The sequence below is a fragment of the Homo sapiens genome, chromosome 4 (genome assembly GCF_000001405.40).
Source record: "Homo sapiens chromosome 4, GRCh38.p14 Primary Assembly".
Lineage (NCBI taxonomy): Eukaryota > Metazoa > Chordata > Mammalia > Primates > Hominidae > Homo > Homo sapiens.
Window position 1 is genome coordinate 76,939,696 of NC_000004.12, and position 13,254 is coordinate 76,952,949.

Below are 13,254 nucleotides of genomic sequence, written 5' to 3' on the forward strand. Positions count from 1 at the left end.
AGATGCATACAAAATACTTTGCATGGTGCCTGAGACAGAAAAGCATTCAACAAATCTAAGCAAAAGTTTGATGGCATGTGATAACTTGTAGAGAAAGAGGTCCACTCTTACAGGTTTTGATATCACAAAAACAATATTAGTACAGCAATTTAAGATTTTTTTATTGATGTTTAACCTGTATACAACCATACCCATTTTAAGTGTACAGACAAATGAATTTTGACAAATTCATTCACTCATCTAATCATCACTATAACCATGATACAGATTTTTATCACTCCAAAAGTCCATCCTGTGCTCTTTTCAAGTCCATCCTCCTCATCTGATACCCCAAGCCACCATTGTTTTGCTTTCTGTAACTACAGTTTTGTGTTTTTAGAATTTCATATATGTTGAATCATACCATTTGTAATTTTGGGGTCTGACGTCTTTCACTCAGAATAATGTATTTGAGATTTATCTACATTTTGCATGTATCCATGGTTTATTTTATACCAAAGCAGGGTTCTATTATGTAAATATAGGTACCACAATTTGTTTGTCAGTTAACCTGTTGTTGAACTCTTGGGCTGTTTCATTTTTTGGCTGCTATGCATAAAGCTGCTATGAATGCTTTTTTGTGGACTCATTATTTCTGTCGTGTAACTATTTTTTAGTGTAAATGTAGAGTCATATGGTAAATATATGTTTAACTACATAAGAAACTGCCAATCTGTTTTCCAAAGTGCTTGTACATTTTGCATTTTCACCAACTGCAATGGTTTGGATGTGGTCTGTCCCTACTGGAATGCATATTGAAATTTTATCCCCAGTGTGGTGGTGTTGGGAGGTAGGCTAGTGGAAGGTGTTTGGGTGAGGGAGATGGATCCCTCAAGAATAGATGAATGCCCTCCTACAGAGGTGAGTAGTTCTTGCTCTGAGAGAATGAATTAGTTCCCATGATAGCAAGTTGTTAAAAATGAGTTTGGCTTCCTTGGCTTCTCTCTCTTGCATCCTCTCTCACAATGTGATCTTTACACACACTCTCTCTTTCTGCTTTCTGTCATGAGTTGAAGCAACATGAGGCCTTCATCAGATGCAGCTGCCCAATCTTGACTCTTCTAGTCACCACAATCATAAGCCCAATAAACCTCTTTTTTAAAGTAAAATATCCAGCCTCAGGTATTCTGTTATACCAACACTAAACAAAGACAGCAACAAGGCATCAGAGTTCCAGTACTCCACATCTTCCCGAACAACTGGAATCATCAGTCTTTCTAATTTTCACCATTCTACTAGGAGGCATACAATTGTACTTTAATTTGCATTTCTCTGATGACTAATGATGTTGACCACCATTTCACATGCATTTGGCCAAACATGTATCTTCTTTTATTATGTGTATGTTCACATATTTTGTCATTATTATTTTTTGCAAATAGTGTAGGTATTTTTCCCCAGTCTGTGGCTTACCTTTTTAGTTTCTTAGTGGTGTATTTTGAGGAGCAAAAATTTGAAGTTTGATAATATCCAGTTGGTTAGTGCTTTCTGTGTCTCCTCTACAAAACTGTTGCCTAACCCACAGTCATGAAGAGTTTTTCTTTGTTTTCTTCTAAACAAAGCTTTACTGTTTACACTTAGGTTTATGATCCATTGGATTCAATCTTGTGTATAGGTGAAATAAGGTTTGAGGTTCTTTTCTTCTATATGGATATCCAATAGTCCCAGTATGATTAGTTGAAAAGATTGTCCTTTCCCATAGAATTATCTTGGCACTTGTGCCAACAATCAATTGACCATATGTGTCTATATGTAGACTTTCCATATGCTCTCCCACTGGACTATATGATTGTATGTTGGCCGATTCCATGTCTTGATTATTGTAGCTTTTTAGTTAAGTATTGAAATTGCACAGTGTAAGTTATCCAACTTTGTTCTTTTTCAAAATTGTTTTGGCTAGCTAGCATAGGTCTTTTGTGTTTTCACATACATTTTACAATCAGATTGTTAATTTCTATTTTTAAAAAAAGCTTGCTTGGATTTCAATTGGGATTATATTGAATCTGTAGATCAATTTAGGGAGAATTACATATTAACAATATTGAGTCTTTCAATCCATGATCATGGTATATTTCTCCATTACTTTAGGCTTCCTTTAATTTCTCTCAACACAGTTTTATAGGTTTTTAGAGTACAGATCTTACACATATTTTGATAAACTTATCTCTATTTTGTTTTTGATATTGTTGTACAATAATTGTTTATATGGTTATTTCATTATAATAATGATCCTATGAGGTAAATATGAGCTTAATTTATTAGTTAACAAATGCAGCTCAAAGAGATCAAAAGGTTGGCTTAATATCATATGATTGGCTAATCCCATTTCTGGAAATGTATCTTGCAGATATACTTTCACATGTTAAAAATGACTAGTACAAGGTTATTATTGCGGCATGGTTTATCATGATAAAAGACTGAAAAAACCTTGAGTGTATCCATGAGACTTTATCAGTGATATAGCCTTAGAAACAGTAGGCAGCTGTATAAATGAATGAAGAAGGTAACTATGTATCTATATAAAAGGAACTGCAAAATATATTAAGTGAAAAAAAGATACAGAATGTTATACATAGTATATTTTTTCTTTCATGTACAATATGGGGTAAGGTAGGAAATAAGGATACATATTTATATCTGTTGCAAATTGCTTAGAAAAACTCTGGAAAGATACATGACACAATAATAAAGTATTTACCTCTTGTTGGGAGGCATGAGGACTGGATAGATGGTGAATAGAGTGGAAACTTCATTCTGCATCATTTTATGTTTTTTAAAAAACTGTGTAAGTATATTACCTCTGAGACTGCTGATTTCCTCTCAGTGTCCATTTTTCATTTCTTCCTTTTACAAGTAGGACATCCCCCCTGAGTTTTTGGAGGGCATATCCTAGCCTCCTCTGCAGCTAAGTACATTCCTGTGACTGAATTTTTGCCAGTGGAATGTGAACACAGGTGACTTATATTATTTCCATGTCACTTCCTTAAATGGAAACTAATATCTTCCACTTTCTTTTCTTTACCCTTTCCATGGGCTAGAATGTGGATATGGTGCTGGTGAGACTGTTTTGATCAGAGTAGATAAGGTAACAATCGGAAATAAACATCTAGGCTGGGTGCGGTGGCCCACATCTGTAATCCCAGCATTTTGGGAGGCCGAGGCAGGTAGATCACCTGAGGTCAGGAGTTTGAGACCAGTCTGGCCAACATGGTGAAATCTCATCTCTACTAGAAATACACAAAAATTAGCCGTGCATGGTGGCTTGCACCTGTAGTCCCAGCTATTTGGGAGACCGGGGCAGGAGAATCACTTGAACCCAGGAGGTGGAGTTTACAATGAGCTGAGATCGCACCACTGCACTCCAGCCTGGGTGACAGAGCAAGACTGTCTCAAAAACAAACAAACAAAAAACCATCTATTTTTCTTTAACCAATGACTCTTGGGATATTCCCATTACAGCAGCTTCGCCTATATCCAAATACATCAACTTAAAAATTTTGCATAGCTCATGATGTTTGACAGTGTAGGAACACGAACGCAAGTGTCCTGGCTTCCAAGTCCATGTTTTCTCTGCTGATGAGTAGGAAGGCAGTCTTGCAACGGCTAGTTCGTTATCTTCCTAAAGTGTGGAATGATGACTCATGAAGCATAATCTGCCAAAATTCATGATACCAGCCAACCTACAGCCACTTCTGCTGATTCAGATGGGACTCAATAAAACAGACAGAAGTAAGGTGAAATATAATGCTGATGACTTTTGAAATCTCAGCCTGGAAAGAGAGAATTAGTGGTAAAGCAAATTGAACTTGGGAAAATTAACAAAATGAACATAATCCAATAGGTATCGGTACATGAGGTAGCAAGGAAATTATGACTGAAATATTATAAGTCAAGGAAATTTTATCTCATTCAAAAGGAACAAGTCTACAGTAAGGGAGATGAGGGTGCAGAGTAACCCCTGCATCAGAGAGTTATTCAGCTGGTAGAAATGGACAGTGGTAGAATGGTAGATAGCAAATAGGACGAGACAAAAGGTGAGAAGGTGTAAGTGACATGGCTGTCAGAATATACAAGTGCATATGATTCTCTTCTAATTCAGTGGCAGTATCTAGTATTCAGAGGGACATCCACCACATAAATTTTCTAGGCTCATGAAAAAGAATAATAACTGTCACCACAATGACTGGCCACAGGGAGAAAGGAATTATCTGAGAAGGAGTGATGCCAGAGCCAGGGGAAACTGACCCAGCTCCAGGGCTGGCTGCCAAACAGAGTGGCCAGCAAGCCAAGTCATCTTACTCTAAGGAGCATGTCACTTCACAGGACATACTTATTGCAATCAGATTTTTTAAACAGCGTGCTTTAAAGAGTACCATAGCCTATAAGAATGGAAATGTCCCTGCAGGCTTAGATAATTTTTGCCTTTAAAAAGAATACAAAGACTTTTTTTAAATTTATTTTTTTGTTTTTCAAGTAATACTTGCCACAAGAGGGTGAACAAGAAAGGATGGAAGCTACTGCTTCGTGCTGATGACATAATGCTATCAGATGACAAAGAAAAGGTAAAACTCAAGTTTTAATTTATTTGTCTCCTCTCCCAAAGAGACTAATGTTTTAATGAAAAAAGGTAGAATAAACATGATTTAAAGGCTACTAAAATCCAGCATGGTAAGCAAGCAATCGATTGCTTTAAATGAGTTTCTAGGCCTAAATGAATTATCCATGCAAGAGATTTCATAAGTGATCGTAAAGGTAATTACTCACTTTCCAGAAGCCAGAGAAAAATAAGAAATGATAAAAGATTGAAGAAGGGCAAATATTGTCTTGATTTTCAAAGATAATAAAAAGTGGTAGGGGCAAAGAAGAGTCAGAGTTATTGGTAAATTTAACATTGCCTAACAATTTTCTAGAATGATTTTTAAATGCATTTTTTTAACAAAGAAAAGAAGAGATAATCACTGGAGCCTATGTGAGTTTATAAATGACGGTTTCAATGTTTTTGCCTTCCATGTTTATCAGAATCTCAGTGGATCCTGTATCTTGTAAACTTGCTGAGTTCATTTATTACTTCTAATGATTTTTTAGTGGATTCCTTAGGATTTTCTGTATATTTGTGTTATCTGTGAATAGAGAGTTTTACTTTTTCCTCTCAAATGTAGATGCATTTTACAATGTTTTAATGAACATTTTTACATATTGTGTTGCAGAAGGAGTTCAGGATCAGTCAGTTCAGGACAGTCAGTTAAACCATCCAAAATTAAAGTGGCAATAGCTAACTTATCACCTGTTTTGTGTGTGTGCTTTTGTTTGTTGTTGTTGTTGTTGTTCTGTGACTCAGTCTTGCTCTATTGCCCAGGCTGGAGTGCAGCGGTGCGATCTCGGCTCACTGTAACCTCTGCCTCCCCGGTTCAAGTGATTCTCAAGCTTCAGCCTCCCAAGTAGCTGGGATTACAGGCGCCCACCATCACGCCCGGCTAACTTTTGTATTTTTAGTAGAGATGGGGTTTCACCATGTTGGCCAGGCTGGTCTCGAACTTCTGACCTCAAGTGATCCACCCACCTTGGCCTCCCAAAGTGCTGGGATTACAGCCATGAGACACTGTGCCCAGCCTCCTGTTTTTCTTGTATCCCTTTATAATTAATCATTTTTATGGTAGTCAAGAGTGATCTGGTCTTTGGGTTCTTTGACTGTAAACCACAGAAACAAATCCTAGATAACTTAAGCCAGAAAATAAAAAAATAAATTGTAGACCCCATAAACTGTAACAATTTGCCAAAAAGTAAAAAATAATTTATGGCCTGCATAAACTGTAACAATTTGTATTGTCTTTGTGTCTCTTGATTCAAAATTCAAATGTAACAGCATCTAATTGGCCAAGCTTAGATCACATACTTTCTTAAGAATGTATGTACTGTGGTGATGAAAGGAAGGGTGTGATGGAACGTCTCTTCAGGAGCCTCTTATTGAAAATAAATTAAATTAATTTTTTTGGACGTGAGATCTTGCTATGTTGCCCAGGTTGGAGTACGGTGGCTGTTCACAGGCTCAATCATAACGCACTACAGCCTTAAACTCCTGGCTTTAAGTGATCTTCCTGCCTCAGCCTCTTGAGTAGCTGGGACTACACCATGCTACCACAGCCAGCGAGGAACCTCTTTTTTTGGTTTTGTTTTGAGATGGAGTCTGGCTGTGTCAGCCAGGCTGAAGTGTACTGGTGCGATCTCGGCTCACTGCAACCTCCACCTTGTGAGTTCAAGCTATTCTCCTGCCTCAGCCTCCCGAGTAGTTGGGATTACAGGCATGCACCAGCACATCCCACTAATTTTTGTATTTTTAGTAGAGGTGGGGTTTCGCCATGTTGGCCAGGCTGGTCTCGAACTCTTGACCTCAGGTGATCTGCCCGCCTTGGCCTCCCAAAGTGCTGGGATTACAAGGCATGAACCAGTACGCCTGGCCCAGAACCTCTTTTTTAAGAGGCATTTACTTTTTACCAAGTTGAAACATTCATTGGAAAAGCTCTCCAAATAAATTGGGGTTCAATTAAAAAGGGAATAGACCCTAAATTACTAACAATGCCAAATATTCACTATAGCTGTTTTCTAAAATGCAAATTTTCTTTGCTTAAAGACCTCCTTGACTCTTCATTACCTTAGTATGGCAATAAAAATTATTCATTTCCTAGTCTTTACCCTCATCTCCAACTCAAAATTTATTGAATATACCAGACCATGTGACAGAAGCTAATAGACAAAAAAGCACTCTTACCTTGAGACATTCATAGTCTAGTGACAGAAGCGTGATAGTACGACCACTTCTTGATTGCTTAATATGTCTAAAGCAGAGTTTACTGGCAATAATAGCTGGGGTGGCCATAAGTCCTTGTTTTTCCTATTGTCCTGACATCATTACTATCAGCACAAACCCCCTTTTCCCAGCCTCAAAAGTTTCTCAGTTTGGACAGAAATTATAGGTCATTCTAATAATAATAATACAGTATTTTCTCAGTTAACTCTCAAAACAATTCTGTGAAGGAATGAGATGTTCATTCCTACTGGATAATGTGAGTAGAGTTTTATAAAAAGACTATCTGCAAAGGTATGTGCAAAATGAAGGGAAACCATAGGGGTTTACTCTGGGTCACCCTAGGGAGGGATACTGGCTGCTTCCTTTGGTTGAGGGAGGCAACCAGCCTGCAATGGTGCCATAGTAAGGGAGCCAGGGGGGAATAAATAACCATACTCCTTCCTCTTTGTTCCATCGCTGTTGCTTCCTAGTGCCTTCACTCAACTGGAAGCTAGAGGGAAAGAAAGTCTCTTGAGTTAAGGCTCCAAAGGACAGACAGCAGGTTGGAGAGTGGATCTGGCTAACAGAACACGTCCTCCCCCAGGACTCACTGTTACTACCCTATTTTACAATAGAAAAAAAAAAAATGAGATGAAAGTTTAACTTATTTGATATAACAAAGCTCATAAGTGATCATCTGTAGCTGAAGTGCCAGGTTCTCCCCACTCTGCCACTCTCTCGCTAAGGCTCCAACATTCTAGCAATGCCAGGATACCCACCCTCCCCATAGCATCTTCACATCCCAAATGAGATGTTGGAATATGTAACGTTAAGTTTTGCTGATTAGAATAAACTAACCTACCCACCAAGGTAGGGCATTCACATTCTTACAATCTAAGCAGATGAGTTTACAGCATATACATTCACAAAATAAATAAGTAAAAAAAAAAAATTTGATAAACAAATTCTACAGTCTGTTCTGGTCAAGATAACACAGTTCCTTTGCAACTGCCCTTACATCCGGTTGGTGGTGTGTGGAGCCCTCTTTTCCCAGGCCTTACATGAGGCCTCTGGTCCATGGGCAGTGCTGCTGCTGTCTGATCCTCCTTATGGAGAAAGGACAAAATGTCCATGTACCAGAGCTGCAGAAGAAAGTATTTGTCTTCCCCCTCCCTTTGCACAGCACCCATCTGTGTGTAATCTTATTATTATATATTTTTTGAGACAGGGTCTCACTGCGTCACCCAGACTGGAGTGTAGTGGCGCGATCTCGGCTCACTGCAACCTCCGCCTCCAGAGTTCAAGCGACTCTCCCACCTCAGCCTCTATAGTAGCTGGGACTACAGGCAAGCGCCACCATGCCTGGCTAATTTTTGCATTTTTTTAGAGCCAAGGTTTCACCATGTTGGCCCACCTCAGCCTCCCAAGGTGCTGGGATTACAGGCGTGAGCCACCGCGCCCGGCCCATTTATGTGTAATCTTAATTCAACACTTATTGAGCGCCTACTGTATGTTTGGCATAAAATGGTGGTCCCTAATTTCAAAAGATTTGGAGTCTAGAGGGCAGAAATTGAAGAGGTTGGTGCTCTGCACGTCTGAGTCCGCCCACAGACTGAATAAATAAGCTCTGCGTCGGCGCCCCTCACCTTTCTTTCATGGCCAGACTTTTCTCTGGCGGTTCCACAGCTGTCCTGACAGTGGAATTCAGACGGGGTGACCAAGCCCCTAGCCCACCTACCAGCGAAATCCAGCATCAGTTCCAGGGCAGCCGGACCCGCGCCCGGGGACGACTGACCCTTAGCCCAAGGCTGCGGGGGCGTCGGAGTCCTGAAGCGCAGGCGAGGCAGGGCCAGCGGGACAGGGAGACTCAAGGCCCCAGGGGATCTGGGCGTTTGAAGACTCAGGTCAGACTCTGAGGCGCCCGTCTAAAGAGACCGGTTGTCTTTTCCCTAATTCAGGAGGCCAGGCTGTCCCTTGGGGCGTCGTACCGAGGGCAGATCACAGCCCTTCCCTCCTCACCACACTCCCTGTGCTTCCACCCAGCTGGTTCCCCGCCCTGTCCATCGCTGTCCTCAATCGCTTGTTGTCGTGGGCCCCCCTCTCCGGCCCACGTGGGGCCGCAGGGATCCACAGCTCATCTGACACACCTCGCTGCCCTGCACGCACCGGGACCCCTCCATTCCGCCGGCCCCTCAGACACGCAGTAACACCCCAACATCTGCTGGGAAAAAAATCTTCCCCACGGCGGAGGAGTTCTCAGTCCCACGCGCCCAGAGTCGCACCCACTCGAGCCACCCGCCTGTTGCCGTCGCCACGCCCTCCAGCCGCAGCCCCAGCGCGCATTCCTACGGGTCGCCGGGTCTGTCGCCAGCGATCGAATGAAGTCGGCTGATCCCCCACGTGTGGCTGCTCCAGTGACACCCAGGGGAGGCCTCGGTCCTTACCCCTAGAGCAACCAATGGCTGCCTTAATTCTTCAGCGGGGGCGTTCTTTTTCTTCCTCCCAAGCAGGCGGCCGTTGGGTCGGCCGAAGGCAGCAGCGACTACTACGGCTCTTCCTCTCCAATGGGATCCCCTGTCTGCCCGCGCGCCACAGTGACAGCTTCCAGATGCCTGTCTTTAGTCTCCCTTCTCAAGGGAAGCGGTGGGCGACCGAGGTGCGGCCTGGAGGGCCCCCATGTGGGAAGGGAAGACTTGCGGAAGGGCAATTCTTCCAGTGCGGAGACGAGGAGGCCAGCCCAGCCGCACTTCGGTCGCCCACCGCTCCGCCTGGTGGTCCGCAGCCCCTTCCAGGCCGGCTTCTCCGGGTGGGGCGTGCTAGTCCGGGGCTAACTTTCCGCCACGTGCTGTCCCTGCGACCCGTCTCCCCCGGTCGCCCTTCCTTCTCCCGGCGGCCGCTGGAGCTGCCCGCTTCGTGGAGCCGGTGGCAGGCCCCGGGGCTGGGAGCTCGCGCCCAGGCTTTTACTCAGATTCCAGCACCTGATGGAGCAGGGGGTGGCGGCCAGCGCACAGGCTGTCGGCATCTCATGGCAGCGGAGACGGTCGTTTGGGGACGGAGGGGCGAGCCCCGCGGCCGGGGCCAGTGGAGCTGGGCTCGGAGCCCGCCCACCATCCTCCCGCCCACCACCGCGGCCGGGCGCGCAGGCTCACACCCCTTCCTGGGGAAGCGAATGGTCCCTTCCAGGCGGGTGGCCATGTTGCTCTAATAAAGCGGGAGGGGCGGCGGCGTGGGGGGAGCAGATGCCGCTGGCTGCCAGCGGGACGCCGGCGAGCAGAGCGCAGCCGCGAGGGAGGCGCGAGGGAGGCGAGCCGGAGCCCGAGCACTAGCAGCAGCCGGAGTCGGCGTAAAGCACCCGGGCGCAGCCGGAGCCGGTGCCGCAGCTGCGATGGCCGTGGCCGTGGGGAGACCGTCTGTGAGTGCTGGGGCCTCGCCTGCTGCTCCTCGGGCGCCGGGTGGTCTCTGCTCTGGGGCGGGTGCGGTGAGGACCACAGGGGAGCCGGGCGGGTGCTCGGCCCCGCGGCGGCGGCGACGGCTGTGGGTGTGTGCACGAATTTGGGCGCGCGTCTGGGGTCGGGGTTAGGAGCCCAGGGGCTCAGTTACGTGATGCAACAGTGGATCGCCTCGTCGCGCCCCTCTTCTGGGAATGCGAAAGAAAAAGGACCCCTCTCCTGTTCCCTTTAAAATAATTCTTTGAGGCGCGGCGTGTCTCAGCCGCCTCCCTCTGCCCGCGCACCTCTTCCCTCGTGACAGCCAGAAGGGCGCCGGGTTCGGGGCTTTCCTCCAGTCTCCCCCGCGCCGAGGGGGCGCTCAGGGCATGGGAATTGCGAGCTGAAGTGCTGCGTGTGGCACTGCTGTAGAAGCAGGTCAGAGGGGTGGGATTTCCGTGGTGGCCTCCCCAGCGCATTGTGAGATCCCGGACACCCTCGGGCATCCACCCGGCTGAGCGGGCCCTGCCCAGGATGTGGACAAAGCCCCAGATAACACACACAAAGTTTTCTGGAGGCTCCCTTGTGGTGTGGGTGGAAGGACTGAAATGTTCTGCGGCTGAAAGGCCGGGGGCGGCGGGCTGAGGAGGCTGGGACGCGAGGAAGAGGAAGGGCGGGCGGGTGCGTGAAGAATCGAGTGCCCCACGGCGGGAGGGAGGAGAGTAGGAGGGAGGAGATACCTTTGCCCCGAGTGTGTGGGCCAAGGCGCCGCGCCTACTGGGTTGCAAGACTCGGTCCGCGCCCCGGGGCCGGGCCGGAGGGGAGCGGGACTCCGAGGGTGCGGTTCAGTGGCCGCTCCGCATCCCCAAGTGAAAGGCGGAGGAAGGGGCGGCGGCGGCCTTTCCTTTTTTTTGAAAGGAGCGGAGCTGGGTGGGAAAGGCGGAGTCCTCCTGTTTTCCCTTTCCCCTTTTCATCGTCGATGTTCACAGTCCACTCGCCTTACTGGCTTTGGGGGCGCCTCGGGCGATGTCTTTCCCTGTCTATCACCTCCTCTTCCCTTTTTCTTCTTCCCTTTCCCACAGCTGTGCAGCTGCAGGTGGTGGCTCGGGAGATTTTGTAGTTACAGACGAAAGACTTACTGAGATACTGGAAGCTCGGAAATCCCAGAAATGCAAGGCTGTGCTCTCAGGCTCCCGGCTCTTCCCCCTCTCCCCGCCTAACTCCTCCCCAGATACGCGCGCCTTTTGCACCCTACCCCCTCGGGAGAAGTTCATGGGTCCCTTTGCGGATTCTAATTCGATTTGGTGGTTCGGCTGCCCGCGGTGCTTTCAAAGACGTTTTCTGCAGTCAGAAAACACAGCGGTCATATCGAATCATGACTGTCTTTTAGGCCTTTTCAACTCTACGATTTAATGACATGGCTCTTTTAAGAATTCTGGTCTTCTTTTGCACATAAATTGTGCTCTTGATAATTAGTGGTCACATGTAGGTTATTGTTACTGAGGGAATTTGCATAGTCTCTGGGCTAGTCGTTTTATTTTTGGTGAGAAAATTGAGGTCTATAGAGGTGAAATTTATCTGGTTAAATTACTCCTCCCCCTGCCCCCCATTATACTTATTAGCAGGCATAGATTCAGAGAACTAAAATAACAATATCTGCTTTAGATAAATTGGCAAACGTTTAGGATTGCAAATATTCAGTGGGGGTGTTTGGCTTTTTCAGTAACACGTATTATTGCTGGTGCATTCTTGAGGGATGGAGGAGGTGGAAGAAATAATTAGCTGCACATTTTCTATAAATTAGTTCATATATGTCAGTTAAATAGGAACAGTATGTGGATTTAAGGTTTAGTTGTGTGGCCGTAATCACATCCAACACCAAGTCGGCCAACCATATGTGAGCTTAATCCCACAGAATTCTTATGTTAGACCTCCCTCTTCAGATAATAGAGGAGATTTTTTTTAAGTATACGTGCACAGAGGAAGTGACTTCTTTCTGCGCACTCTGTTGTCACTGGAATTAAAATTAAATTACAATCTAAAGACAGAAGACTTTTCTTTTGGAAACCTAATGTACGAGTGATTAGGAATTGACTATAAAGTTAGAAAGTCTACAGAAAATATGTGATCACATTTCACAGATAATTGTTGAATCCTTTCACTTTGTTCATTGGGCTATTGTCTTAAGTGTGGTCTCTGCAGTTATGGCTTTAAAACAAAGTCAATGAATGGGGAAGACTCTTGAGACACAGCTCCATGGAATCTACACTGCACCTTTAAAGTTAAGAGTTCTCTGGCCCTCCCATTTCTTATCTAGTCTGTGATTTCACCAAAAGAAAGGAAGGGTGCGCTGAGGGAAAAGAACCACTCCGAAGTTGATTTATGTGTGAATGGAATTTCCCTAGGTATTTAATTAGATTTTTTAAAAAGTTATTTAGGACATATATCTCCTTTTGCGATAACTACCTCTCCCCGCCAGACTGAAGAAAAATGCAATCTGAATAACTTACCCTAAATTTTTGATATTCTTGAATGGGAACATCTGAGTGTGATATCCCAGGTAAATATGACATTTTAGTGGGCAAAAATGCTTACATGTCAAATGCACTATTTTCTATCTTATGAAATGGTTATATTCTGTTACAAACCATTCAAACCTCAAGGCTAAATTCAGGTAAGTTTCTTAAGTGGATTTGTTGTTGACTGCAAAACAAAGCTTCAATTTAGTGTGATACTGTTTATTTCAGTTTTAATTTTGATCCCTAGCTTCTCCATTTCCCCACTGATGGTTTTTGGGCTTAGCCCTAAGAAGACCCTGAAGCACATCTGCTGTTTGCCTAGTATAACTGATGATTAGCAAGAACATTTTACTCCCAAGGGATGTGTCTGCATTTTGGATGAATTAGCATTTTTGCGTCCAAATCCCGGGGCAGCTATTATCTTTATTTTAAACAGAACATGGCAATTTACTCTACTTGGGAATCAGGCTTTATGTAGCTGATGGCC

At 44.9% G+C, this 13,254-nt stretch overlaps 1 protein-coding gene and 1 long non-coding RNA gene across 9 annotated transcripts in view, besides 3 other annotated features; one reads left to right on the forward strand and one right to left on the reverse strand.

Annotated features, from left to right (window-relative positions):
- Positions 1–9,870, reverse strand: part of LOC105377294 (uncharacterized) — a 40,750-nt gene extending 30,880 nt beyond the window's left edge. For both annotated transcript variants that reach the window (XR_001741739.2, XR_001741738.2), the window contains exon 1: positions 9,268–9,870. This is a non-coding gene — a long non-coding RNA (uncharacterized LOC105377294). The remainder of the gene's footprint in view (positions 1–9,267) is intronic.
- Positions 8,842–8,921: an enhancer, noted in NCBI's record as "active region_21632". NCBI's record gives its function as "activates an Ori minimal core promoter by ATAC-STARR-seq in GM12878 lymphoblastoid cells {active_cell/tissue: GM12878}" and the evidence as "EXISTENCE:reporter gene assay evidence [ECO:0000049][PMID:35858748]".
- Positions 9,832–10,011: a silencer, noted in NCBI's record as "silent region_15497". NCBI's record gives its function as "represses an Ori minimal core promoter by ATAC-STARR-seq in GM12878 lymphoblastoid cells {active_cell/tissue: GM12878}" and the evidence as "EXISTENCE:reporter gene assay evidence [ECO:0000049][PMID:35858748]".
- Positions 10,042–10,351: a silencer, noted in NCBI's record as "silent region_15498". NCBI's record gives its function as "represses an Ori minimal core promoter by ATAC-STARR-seq in GM12878 lymphoblastoid cells {active_cell/tissue: GM12878}" and the evidence as "EXISTENCE:reporter gene assay evidence [ECO:0000049][PMID:35858748]".
- The window catches only part of SEPTIN11 (septin 11), a 90,403-nt gene continuing 87,205 nt past the window's right edge, over positions 10,057–13,254 (forward strand). For all 7 annotated transcript variants that reach the window (XM_017008401.2, XM_017008402.2, XM_017008403.2 and 4 more), the window contains exon 1: positions 10,057–10,235. Coding sequence is in view for 3 of the 7 variants with exons in the window: in XM_017008403.2 (XP_016863892.1) it covers positions 10,209–10,235 (27 nt within the window). In the remaining 4 variants the exon portion in view is untranslated. The remainder of the gene's footprint in view (positions 10,236–13,254) is intronic.